Consider the following 13,488-nt stretch of genomic DNA (forward strand, 5'->3'; position numbering starts at 1 on the left):
TCTAGGACAGCAGTTGGTTGACATTTAAAGGGCTACTGTCCCAGAAGGCTGCTTGCCTGGGCCCATGGCACTGCCAGAAATCACAAGACTAAGCTGAAAAAGCACAAAGAAGTTTCCTTTCATTCCAGGAACCTCTTGGCTTGAATATGAAATAGCCTCTTAGTGACACTACACTGCAATTTCAAATAATAGGTTTTTTATCACCTCTTTGAGAAATATCACCTTGGGTTCATCCCAGAAAAATAATACAAAGTAGAATTTTTTCAAACGTAATCCCCTTGGGTTCCTCTCAGAAAAAAATAGAAAGTAGAATTCTTTCAAACTTAATCCCCTCTTTGTATTTGTCTCCTCTGCATCTCTCCAAAGTAGATGGGTAGGAGAGGGAAACAGTGCTGTAGAAAATGGGACAAGAACACACCCTAATAAAACAAGAAAACATGGTTTGCCAGAGGTCTCCTTTCCCAGGCTCAAGCCTCAAGTTTCTAATTGTCCCTACATTACTCCCACAAATGCCTTTCTGGGAGAGTCTTGTATGCTAGACCTCTGCCATCTTCCCATCCTTTCTCCCTTCCTCCTAACCTTCACTCTTGAGAAAGACTCATCCTGGCTTCTGTGTCCATAGAACCTTGAAGCAGCTTTCTGGTGAGGAGGTGAGCTACTTCCTGCAAAACTACTAGTAGCTGCTATTGATTAATGTATTCTTCCAACCAGGTAATGTATTCCTGTTCCAACAGAAGTCTTCTTGAGACATATCTGAAAGTGACATAGTAACCAGAAGGAAGATTTTTGGAGGGTTCTTGAACTAGCTCTACATAGGAAACTGCCAACAATAACTTCCTGTGGCATTTGTTAAGTTGTGATTCTGCCCCTCACTGCTTGACTTAGTCCTCTTGACAAGGGCCAGGAGGAGAAAACAGGTCTCAAAGAACAGTGTACATCAAAGCCTGGCTTTCCAGCAATGCCTGACCCTGCCAAAGAAGGCAGGGAAGCCCCCACAGAGCCTCTTAGAAACCTCAACTCCCTCAGCCTCTTGTCCCAGAGCATCACTGGCAGGTATAGACCAAGCATATCCACATCCACACGTACGTCTTTTTTGCTTTTATTCATTTTAGTTTATAACAACTATTTATTTAGGACGTGGTTCTGTGAGCTGTTAAATTGTTCTATTGTCAGATCATAGCTGTATACATTTGTGGGGTGTCAAAACGATGTTTTAACATATACATACAATCAGTGTGATTAAATCAAGCTAATTAACACATCCATCACCTTGCTTACCTATCTTTTTTATGGTGAGACATTTGAAATTTACTCTCTTAGTTGTTTTGAAATATACAATGCAGTATTATTGACTATAGTCACCCTGGTATACAATATATCTCAAAATCTATCCCTACTGTCTCTCTGAAACTTTGTACCCTTTGATTAACAACTCCCATTCCCCTTTCAATCTGAAACATTGTACCCTTTCATCAGCAACTCCTCATTCCCTCCCTCCCAGCCCACTCTTAGCCTCTTTCTACTCTCTATTTCTATGAGTTCAACTTTGTTAGATTTTTACATGTAAGTGAGATCATGCAGCATTTGTCTTTCTGTGCCTGGTTTATTTTACTTAGCATAATGTCCTTCAGATTCATCCGTGTTGATGCAAGTGACAGGATTTCTCCCTTTTTAAGGCTGAATAATTTTCTATTGTGTATGTTTCACATTTCCTTTATACACTCATCCATTGATGGATACCTAAGTTGTTTCATGTTTTAGCTATTGTGAATAATGCTGCAATAAACATGCAGAGTACAGATATTCTGTTGACATATTGATTTCAGTTTCTTTATATATTCAGAAGTGCGATTACTAGGTCATACGGTAGTTCTATTTTTAATTTTTTGAGGAACCTCCATGTTAGTTTCCATAATTGATGTATAAATCACATTCTCACCAACAGGGTATGAGTTTTCTTTTTCTGCATCCACTCCAAGATTTGTTATCTTTCTTCTTCTTGATAAAAGCCACATTAACAGATGTGAGGTGATATCTCATTGTGGTTTTAACTTGAATTTCCCTAATGATTAGTGATGCTGGGCATTCTTTAATGTACCTGTTGGCCATTTGCGTGTCTTCCTTTGAGAAACGTCTGCTCAAGTCCTTTGCCCATTATGTTAGATCATTCTTTTGTTGTGAGAAATTAATATCTGAGATTGGGTAAGTTATAAAGAAAATAGGTTTAATTGGCTCACAGTTTGAAGGCTATACAGAAAGCATAGCCCCGGCATCTCCTCAGCTTCTGGAGTGGCCTCAGGGAGCTTTTACTCATGGCAGAAGGCTACTTGGGAGCAGGCACAAAGCATGGTGAAAGCAGGAGCAAGAGAGAGAGGGGAGGTGCCACACTTTACATCAACCGGATCTTGTGAGAACTCACGGTTGTGATGACAGCACTAAGCACGAGTGATTTGCCCCCATGACCCAAACATCTCCCACCAGGCCTCACATCCACAATTGGGGATTAGATTTCAACATGAGATTTGGGTGGGGACAAATATCCAAACTATAACACCCATTTTTAAATCAGGTTTTTGTTTCTTTGCTATTGAGTTGTTAGAGTTGCTTCTATGTTTTGGATATTAACTCCTTGTCAGATGTATGGTTTGCAAATAATTTCTCCCTTTCTATGAGTTGTCTCTTCACTTTGTTAGTAGTGTCCTTTGTTGTGCAGAGGCTTTTTAGTTTAATATAACCCCATTTGTCTATTTTTGCTTTTGTTTCCTGTGCTTTCAGGGTTACGTCCAAAAATATCATTGCTTAGACCACTGTTAGGGAGATTTTCCACTGTTTTCTTCTAGCATTTTTACAGTTTTGGGTCTTATTTTTAAGTCTTTAATCCATTTTGAGTTGATTTTTTAATTGTGTAAGATAAGGATTCAATTAAGCCCTGAATTCTCTAATTCTGAAAGGGTGGTGTGAAGTAACTTTATTCCTACTAGGAAGGTTGTAAGACAAACTTATTTAAAATAACTGTGGATCCAATAAATTCTTACAAATATAAATACAAGAACAAATGTAAATTTCGACATTAAAAACAAAAGGTGGGAGAAAGGCAGTGAAAGTGTAGAGTTTTGTATGCAATTAAAAGCAATTATTGTCAGCTTAAAGTAATCCGTTTTAAGGATAACATGTTTTATGTAAGCCTGATGGTAACCACAAAACAAAAACCTATAGTAGTTGCACAAAATATAAAATAAAAGCTTTCAAACTGTACCCCCACAGAAAATCATCAAACTACAAAGGAAAACAGTAAAAGATGAAGAAAGAAACAAGGGACCTACCAAACTGTCAATAATTACATTGAATGTAGATGAATTAAGTCGTCCAATAAAAAGAGTGGCTCAATAGATGAAAAAAAACAAGAAAAAACTTGCTTTACTGGTAAGGACCCACATAGGCTGAAAGTAAAGGAATGCAAAAAGATATTCCATGCAAATGGAAACTAAAAGGAGCAAGTGTAACTATGCTTATCTCAGACAAAATACACTTTAAGTCAAAAACTATAAAAAGAGACAAACATGATTACATAATAATAAAGAATATACAAATATATATTTGTAACATTGCAAATATATATGCCCCCAATATTGGAGCACCTAAATTTGTAAAGCAATTATTAAATAATCTGAAGGGAGAGATAGAATGAGTTACTATTATAGTATGGTGCCTCAATACCCCACTTTGGACAATGGGCATATTATCTAGACAGAAAATTAATAAACATTGGTCTTGAATTATACTTTAGACCAAATGGACCTGACAGACATATACAGCACATTCCATCCAACAACAAAATACACACTCTTCTGAAGTACACAGGGAACATCTTCCAAGGTAGATCATATTTTAGGCCACAAAACAAATCTCAACACATGTAAGAGGAATGAGGTCATATCACGTATCATTTCAGATCTCAATGGCATAAAACTATAAATCAATAACAGGAGAAATCTTGGAAAATACAGAAATATGTGGCACATATTTCTGTTACAGTTTCAGTACACAGATCTTTTACCTCCTTGATTAAATTTAGACCTAAGTATTTAATTTTTTTGGTTGCTATTGTAAGTGGGATTACTTACTTAATTTGCTATTCAGATAGCTTGTTATTAGTATAAGGAAATGTTCCTAATTTTTGTATGTTGATTTTGTAACCTGAAACTTTACAGAATTTATCAGTTTTAACAGTTTTTTGGTGATGCATTTATGGTTTTCTATACATAAGATCATGTCATCAGCAAATAGACTTGCATTTCCCTAATGATTAGTGATGTGGAGCACACTAATAGGTCACAGAAGAAATAAAAAAGGAAATAAAAAATACCTTGAGACAAACACAAATGAAAACACAACATACCAAAACTTAGGAAAAGCAGCCCTAAGAGGAAAATTTATAGCAACAAATACCTATATATAAAAAAAATTCACAATCTACTGTTATAACTCAATAAATTGGTAAAAGAACAAACTAAGCCCAAAGTGAGCAGAAGAGAGGACATAGCAAAGATCAGAGTAGAAATAACTGAAATAGAGACTAGAAAAACAATAGAAACATTGATAAAACTGAAAGTTAGTTTTTTGAAAAGGTTAAAAAAGAAAAGACAAACCCTTAGCTAGACCAACTAGGAAAAAAAGAATAACTGCTCAAATAAATAACATCACAAATGAAAGAGGAGACATTACAACTGATACCACCAAAATACAATAGATAATAAGAAACTAATATGAACAAGTATATGCCAACAAATTGTAAAACCAAGAACAAATGGATAAATTCCTAGATACATACAACCTACCAAGAATGAAGAATGAAGAAATAGAAAATCTGATTTGACCAGATTTTCTGGTCAAATCATGAGTAAGGGATTGAATCAGTAGTTAAAAAAAAAAAAATCTCTCACCAAAGAAAAGCCCAGAATCAGACAGCTTCACTACTGATTCTTTCCAACACTTAAAGAAGAACTAATACAAATTCTTCACGAATCCTTCCCAAAAAATCATGGTAGAAAGAATACTTCTGAACTTGTTTTACAAGGCTAGCATTACCTTTTTACCAAGGCCAGACAAGGACACTACAAGAAAAGAAAATTACAAGCCAATATCCCTGGTGAACACAGATGTAAAATCCTCAATAAAATATCAGCAAACTAAATTAAAGAGCACATTGAAAGAATAATTTACCATGAACAAGTAGGATTTATCCCTGGGATGCAATGATGCTTCAATATATGCAAATCAATAAATGAAATATACCACATTAATGAAATGAAGGATAAACGTTATATGATCATCTCAACAGATACATAAAAACTATTTGACAAAATTCAACGTTCCTTCATGATTAAGAAAAAACTCTCAACAGATTAGGTATACAGGGAATTATCTGAACAAAACAAAGCCCATACATGACAAACCCGTAGCTAACATCATTCTCGATGAAAATTTGAAAGCTGTTCATCTGCGATCAGGGACAAGACAAGGATGCCACTCTCACCACTTCTTTTCAACATAGTATTGGATGTTCTAGCCAGAGCAATTAAGCATGAGAAAGAAACAAGAGACATTCTAATAGAAAGGGAAGAAGTAAAATTATCTCTATTTGCTGATGACATGATCTTATGTATGGAAAACATAAATGCTTCACTAAAAATCTGTTAAAACTGATAAATTCAGTAAAGTTTCAGATTACAAAATCAACATACAAAAATGAGGAACATTTCCTTATACTAATAACAAGCTATCTGAATATCAAATTAAGTAAGTAATCCCACTTACAATAGCAACCAAAAAAATTAATACTTAGGTCTAAATTTAATCAAGGAGGTAAAAGATCTGTGTACTGAACCTGTAAAACACTGATGAAAGAAATTGAAGAGAACAGAAATAAATGGGAAGATATCGCATGTACATGAATTGGAAGAATTAATGTGAAAATGCCCATACTACCCAAAACAATCTACAGATTCAATGTAATTCCTGTCAAAATTCCAATGTCATTTTTTAAGGAATGGCCAAAACAATCCTTAAATTCATGTGGAGCCACAGAAGACCCCAACAAGTGTCTAATATCCAGAATCTATAAGGAACTTAAATAAATCAACAAGCAATAAACAAACAGCCTCATTTAAAGATGGGCAAATGACATGAGCAGACACTTCTCAAAAGAGACATACACATGGCCAAAAAGTATATTAAAAAATGCTCAGTATCACTAATCATTAGGGAAATGCAAATCTAAACTACAATGAGATGCCACCTCACACTAGTCAGAATAACTATTATTAATAAAATCAATAAACAGCACGTGCTGGCAAGGTTGTGGAGAAAAGGGAATGCTTATATACTACTGGTGGGAATGTAAATTAGTTCAGTCATTAGTTTCAGTCATTAGTAAATTAATTCAGTGGAAAGCAGTCTAGAGATTTCTGAGAGAACTTAGAATTATAATTTGACACAGCAATCCCATTAGTGGGTACATACCCAAAGGAATATAAGTCATTCTATCATAAAGAGACACACACACACATGTTCATCACAGCACTAGTCACAATACCGAAGACATGGAATCAATCTAAATGCCCATCAATAATGGATTGGATAAAGAAAATGTGGTGCATATACACCACAGAATACTATGCAGCCATAAAAATGAAATCATGCTCTTGGCAGCAACATGGATGAAGCTGGAGGTGATTATCTTAAGTGAATTAATACGGGAACATAAAACCAAATACTACATGTTCTCACTTATAAGTGGGAGCTAAACATTGAGTATACGTGGACACAAAGAGGCCTACTTGAGGGTGGAGGGTAGGAGGGGGGTGAGGATTGAAAAACTACCAATTGGGTATTATGCTGATTACCTGAGTGACAAAATCATCTGTCTACAAAGCCCCCACTATACACAATTTACCCATGTAACAAACCTGCACATTCCTTGAACCTAAAATAAAAGTTGGAAAGAAAACTAACTAAACGAACAAAAGTTACTTCCCAAGCTTATGCCATATTCTTTTTATATCTCCTTAATGAGGTCAAATTGTTGTCTTGGGAGGAGGGTTTTAAATGTTGGAAAATAGCCCAAGGTCATTACGAGTTTAGCCTGATGGCTGAGTACCTTGAACTCTACTGTCTCGCCACTCTGCTTGCTCTTCTGCACAATGATGGGATGATAACAAGAATAAATTTCTTGTATAATTTGTAAAATGACCCTGAAGGCCATCTTAAAAGAAGAGTGAGAGTTACTGAATGGCTTGTTTAGAGCAACCAAAGCACCTGTGGAACAGGTGCACAGTCTTCCAGCATGACTACTTAGAAATCAGTAACTCTCACTAGGCCATATAGGTCTGGACAAGATTCATTTATGAGATACAATCAATGTCTCCCTATCAGAGCCACACTGAAAACCAAGTAGTATTTTGCATTGTTACCACCTCTAAAAGCCTGAAAAATGGAAACAATTTCCATAAGCTCCAGAACATTCCAGAAAACCCTTTTCTTTTGCCTCCTACCACATGTATGAGAGACAGCAAGAGAATATGAGAGAACACGGGTTCACATGCATATGAAGGAGAGAAACATAGTGGATTTTTGTTAGGAGGATATAATTTCCAATCAGCCAGACCCTTTTCACTCAATAATTTCCTACACTGCAGAGAAGTTAGGTGTTGGATCACTTCCCTCTATGCTTTTTAGACCAGAAGTGTAAATTCTAGCAATGTGTTAATTTATTATCAAATGTGGTTATAAACCCCCCAATAATTTGTAGCACACACACACACACACACACACACACACACACACACACACAGAGATCAAATTTGTAGGAAAAAATCATGTTTTGGAGAAGCATAGGCCATAGCAGTGAATTTTAGAAGCCAAATGCCAAGAGAATAGAGATGTTGAACACTATAGCCCCTTTGCTCCTAATTAAGCACAAATAAATGTATTTGAATGACTTGATTAGATCTATTAGATTTTATTTTGCATGTAACTAGCATACAGCCAGACCTGGAAGTACTCACTCACCACTAAATTGTCTCCTGATTAGAAGGTTGAGTGTTGTTGGTTGGCATTTGGTTCAGTTAGAAACCTTCCCTTCTGAGTGCCAATCTGAACTGGCCACCTTGCAACAAAAAGAAACAGTGGTGTGTTGGCCATGGGCTGGTTCATACCACGTTGAGGCTGAGGATGTGTGGTTTGATGGAAATCTGAATGCTGGAGCTCCCCATCAGTCTTCCCACATGTGAATGTCTGCAGTGTCTCCTATCTACTATGAGGACAGAACTCATAATCAAGAGCCTTTGGGAAAGCCTGGATTGATAGGCATGTGTCCCATGCCCTGAACAAAGTGTGCTTCCCAAAGCCAGCACTAGTGACCTCTAGCACCCTCCACGAAAACTTAGGTCCACACCAGAGCTGAACTCCCTCTTCACTTCTCTCAAGTATGCTAAGACTAATTTCTGTCTTAGTTCATTTTGTGCAGGTATAACAAAATAACTGAGACTGGGTAATTTATAAAGAACAACCATTTATTTTCTCACAGTTCTGGAGGCTGAGAAGTTCAAGATCAAGGATTCAGGAGGTTTGGTTGTCTGGTGAGGGCTGGTCTCTGCTTCCAAGATGGCACTTTGATGCTGTGTCCTCCAGAGGAGAGAAATGCTGTGATCTCACCTGGTGGATGGCACAAGGCCCAACTGTCACTGAGGAGGGGAAGACCCAGGAAGAAAGGTCAAAAGTCAAGCAAATTGCCTCACTATCCTCTCAAGTCCTTCAGAGCCTCAGGATCCCCTGTGGACCCTGGAAGTTTTCCCCCATCTTACTCAGGTCACTCCTTTCTCCGAGACCTTCTAAACTTTGAGGAAACTAAGAGACCTGGCCCTAAGCATAGATGGGACAGGATGGTGTAAATGTGCAACACAAACCAGCAAGACACAGGTACTCTCCTCTACCTTCCCTGCAGAGCAAACAGTGTTGACAGCAGTGAAGATGATGATAATGATGACAACTGCAGTGTTTTGGAGAGCAAATACCTAGGGCCAGCTATTTTACAGATATCCTTATGTTACTATCCAAAGAAACTTTATAAAGAGACGATGGAAAATCACAGCTTTGAACTAGATGACCTGTGTCTTTATTTGATTTGCCTGCCCTTCCTTCAGAATTTTTTTTTTTGTCTTTCTCTACCTCCCACAAGTTGAATGCCTACCTCATGCTCCTAGGGCTCCTCTCTATCAGAAAATTTGGTCCCCACTGGTACTATGGGTTACCCATGGCTGTCTCCCTTGCTTAGGCTGTGAGCTGTAAGAGGCTGACTTTGTCTCTATAAACCCAACCAATCCAGTACCAAGGACAGAGTATGCCCTTAGCAAATGGGTGTCAGATGGATGGATGGATGGATGGATGGATGGAAAAAAATCTATGTACAACTTGGCTTGGATTAAACAGATATTGAATGTCTCCTGTGTGTCAGGCTCAGTGCTAAGAATTCAATAGTGACCATACAGACATAGTTCCTACCTTTAAGGAGCTTCCAGTCTGGTTTATAAGTTTACAAGCCCCAACCCTTTTCCTTCTCCCTCCCTGGAAAAGTCTACCTAACAGCCTACTTCTCAGTGTTTAGGATACAGCCAGGCTCTCTTGAAGGCAGAGGACAGAGCAGGGGTCTCAGTCATATTCTCAGTTCTATCTGCCACAAGAGTAATGTAAGTGCTGATGGTACTGATGGGAGAGAAGCTCAATCTTCTGTCTTTTGGCTCACAATTCAGAGGCTCCTACTTTCTGTGACAGTCCCTCTCAGGGCCATACTATGGCTTTTCACTTCTTCAGGTGCCTGTACTCCTGCTGACCTCCTCAGTCCTGAGTCAATGCAGCAGATGCCAGAACTTTCCATGTCCCCACATTGAGTGTAAATCACACGGCATTAAATAAAACAGACATCAGCATTGCCTACCCTCTATCTCCTTCCCTTGGCAAAAGGAAATGATAAGTGCATGCTGTCGAGCAGGTGTAGTGTATCAGGCAATTACTTTTCTAAACTCTCAACCAACCTGCAAGATAAGCATCACAGATATGGGAATCAAAGCTCTCAGAAGTTGGGCAGACTTGTTCAAGACCTCACAGGACTTGAATTCAGGTCTTTCTAGGTCCATAGCAGGTGCTTATCCTACTACACAAGACTTTATGGAGCAAAGTGAAGGACTGTGCTTTGAACAACCAAGGGGCAATTTGCTGAATTGGCCAAACATAAATTATTTGGAGTCCTATCAAAGGCTATGTTTTCCTCTGTGGATATGCAATCTTTTATCTCACAACCTAGAGAAAAAAAAATATTTCTAAGTGAAAGAGAGCTGACAGGAAGAAATTTAGACAGGCTTACCAGGGTGACATTAAAATGCCTCTGAACCAGTGAGCTATGGCAAATGCTCCACTCTTGATCAACTTTATAATCCAGCTGGGGCAGCGTATAGCCTGCCATGAAAATGAGATTCCAGAAAGATGGGCTGAGGTCAGGGTAAAATTGGGACTTGTTCTCAAAGGATGTCATGAGTTGACTGTTGGGTTGATGTTGAATCCCCAGGATGTTACGGCTAGTGTCAACCATTCCAACTAATGTGTTTTGGGGGCCAACTCTGGGCCAGGCTCTGGACCAGGCCCTACATTTTCAGTCATGAAAATGGCAATGCACACAGGCTGGAGAAGTGGCAATTAGACAAAGAAATCTCATGCACTGAGAAGTGCTAAAATAGGGGTGGCTCCTGTTCACATCTCTGTGAGTGTGAATAGAAGCCCCTGCCCTCCAGGAACTTATGACTGCTGTGACCTGCGTGAGACAAGGGTGCAAGTATCTGACAACAAATGGTACTCATTCATTCAACAAAACCTGCAGGCCAATGAGAAGACAAGATTAGTGAGACAGCCCTATCTTCTGAATATCATTACACACATTCTACAGAAGAGGGAAAATACCTCCAGACAGCTTGTCAACTTGCCTGGGCTCATGAGCTAGTGTTTGGCAGAACCATATTGGAACACTAGACTGTCTGGGATCACAAGGCCTATATCTTTCCACAACATAACAGAGGCTGAAATGACTCTGAATTGCCCTCTCAATGAATCTCATCTGTAAGTATTCTTTGGAGTCTGAAGAGATTCTTTGATACAAGACTAGCGTCTAGTTCATGTGCTCAATTCAGGCCAGTTGGCTCAGAGGCCTAGAAAGAGCCCAAGCTGTTGCTAACTCTTCTTGGGGACCAGTTTATATCATAGGGGGAGGAACAGTGGGCTTCACTCAAGTAGCCCTCAGCAATTGTATATCGTCCATAGTACACTCAGAGACAAGCCACCCAAATCCCCTTCAAGGAAGGACTTGCTCCCCAGCTGCTGGGGGAATACAGCAGGCACCTCCAGCTGTCAGCTCCTCTTGGATCTGCCTCAGCTGCCAAGAGCCTGGGTCTCACCTTCCTGGGCAGCCTGTATTCAGTGGTATAGGGCCAGCCATTTCAGCTCAGCCCAACACTGATGGGTGATCTTTGCTCCCATGCTCCTTATCAAGTGGGCCAAGGCTTTGTCAGGTATACATTGTATTTTGATTTTTCCCTCTGACCCATCCTCCTGCTTCCTCCCCTTCCTTCCACAGGTGTTCATTCCTAATAGACATCTTGTTTTTTGTTTGTTTGTTTGTTTGTTTGAGAGGGAGTTTCGCTCTTGTTGCCCAGGCTGGAGTGCAATGGCATGATCTCAGATCACCGCAACCTCCACCTCCCGGGTTCAAGTGATTCTCCTGCCTCAGCCTCCTGAGGAACTGGGATTATAGACATCCGCCACCACATCCAGCTAATTTTGTGTTTTTAGTAGAAATGGGGTTTCTCCATGTTGGTCAGGCTGGTCTTGAACACCCGACCTCAGGTGATCCACCCGCCTTGGCCTCCCAAAGTGCTGGGATTACAGGCATGACCTAATAGACAACTTGCATTCCAGTTTGTCTCTGCATTTACTGTCAGAGACTCCAACCTCCAGCAGTGTTGAATGTCTTCAGCAGTGTGTATGTGTGAGGAGTGGAATGAAGAGTGTTGCAAACAGACAGAGCCTTGCTCTTAAGATGTTCATCGTTGGGCATGAAGGGAGAAGTGTGGATGGTTCAGTTCAGACTCCCATCTGCAGAAGAATTCAGAGTCTAAACTCCCTGCATCTGCCTGAGCGCCAGCACAGCAGGCCCTCCTCAGTGCCCAGCCTGGCTGACGGTGAGTCACAGAGGCCTGGGGCCATATGAGGAGTCTGTGACCCTGGGCACCAGCTTCTTTCCAGCTCATCTGCCAATTACTTTGCTCACATTCTTCTCTTCACATCCACTGACCATCCTGATGCAAGCCACCAGCACATTCCCTGAGTTCCATCTCTGGACCCCTGCTTCCAGTCATTCTCCATAATATATCCACAGTAAACTCAAAATGCAAAGCAGATCACATTCTCTACTGCTTAAAACTTCCCAGTGGGGCCAGGCATGATGGCTCACATTTGTAATCTCAGCACTTTGGGAGGCCAAGGCAGGTGTATTGCTTGAGCCTAGGTGTTCAAGGCCAGCCTGGGCAACATGTCAAAACCCTGTCTCTATAAAAAATACAAAAATTAGCCAGGTTTGATGGCACATGCCTGTAGTCCCAGCTACTCAGGAGGCTAAGGTGGGAGGATCGCTTGAGCCCAGGAGGTGGAGGTTGCAGTTGGCCGAGATTGCACCATTGCACTCAGCCTTGGTGACAGAGCAAGACTCTGTCTCAAAAAAACAAAAATAAAAACAAACTTCCCAATGGCTTCTTACTGCTTTTAGAATAAAACCTACAGTGCTTAATACTGTCTATTACATTCTCCATGTTCCACCCCTGTGTATGTTTCTGACCTCCAAAATATTTTGGGGGATCTGCCACATGCCAGGCAGGTGTTGGAGATACAGCAATGAACAGAATGAAGTCCCTACATCCAATGAGCTTCCATCCTAAGGGGAACAGACAACAAACAAACAACTAATGCATCAAAGGGTGATAAATGTCAGGGAGAAAAATAGAAAGTGCTGGCCGGGCGCGGTGGCTCATGCCTGTAATCCCAGGGCTTTGGAAGGCCAAGGCAGGCGGATCACGAGGTCAGGAGATGGAAACCATCCTGGCCAACATGGTGAAACCCCATCTCTACTAAAAATACAAAAATTAGCTGGATGTCATGGTGCGCACCTGTAGTTCCAGCTGCTTGGGAGGCTGAGGCAGGAGAATCGCTTGAACCTTGGAGGCAGAGGTTGCTACTGGGGAGGCTGAGGCAGGAAAATTGCTTGCACCTGGGAGTTGGAGGTTGCAGTGCGCCGAGATCATGCCACTGCACTCCAGCCCGGTGACAGAGAAAGACTCCATCTCAAAAAAAAAAAAAAAGAAAGAAAAAACAAAGAAAGTGCACAGGGTG

At 40.2% G+C, this 13,488-nt stretch overlaps 1 long non-coding RNA gene across 4 annotated transcripts in view; it reads left to right on the forward strand.

Annotated features, from left to right (window-relative positions):
- Positions 1-9,150, forward strand: part of CTB-1I21.1 (uncharacterized) — a 28,574-nt gene extending 19,424 nt beyond the window's left edge. For 2 of the 4 annotated variants that reach the window (NR_188338.1, NR_188336.1), the window contains exon 3: positions 6-1,803. This is a non-coding gene — a long non-coding RNA (uncharacterized CTB-1I21.1). Of the gene's footprint in view, positions 1-5; positions 1,804-8,587 lie in introns of those variants that run through there. The other 2 variants (NR_188339.1, NR_188337.1) reach the window with 2 other exon arrangements.
- Positions 9,151-13,488: the final 4,338 nt, after the last annotated feature.

The sequence above is a fragment of the Homo sapiens genome, chromosome 5, assembly GCF_000001405.40.
Source record: "Homo sapiens chromosome 5, GRCh38.p14 Primary Assembly".
Classification (NCBI taxonomy): Eukaryota; Metazoa; Chordata; class Mammalia; order Primates; family Hominidae; genus Homo; species Homo sapiens.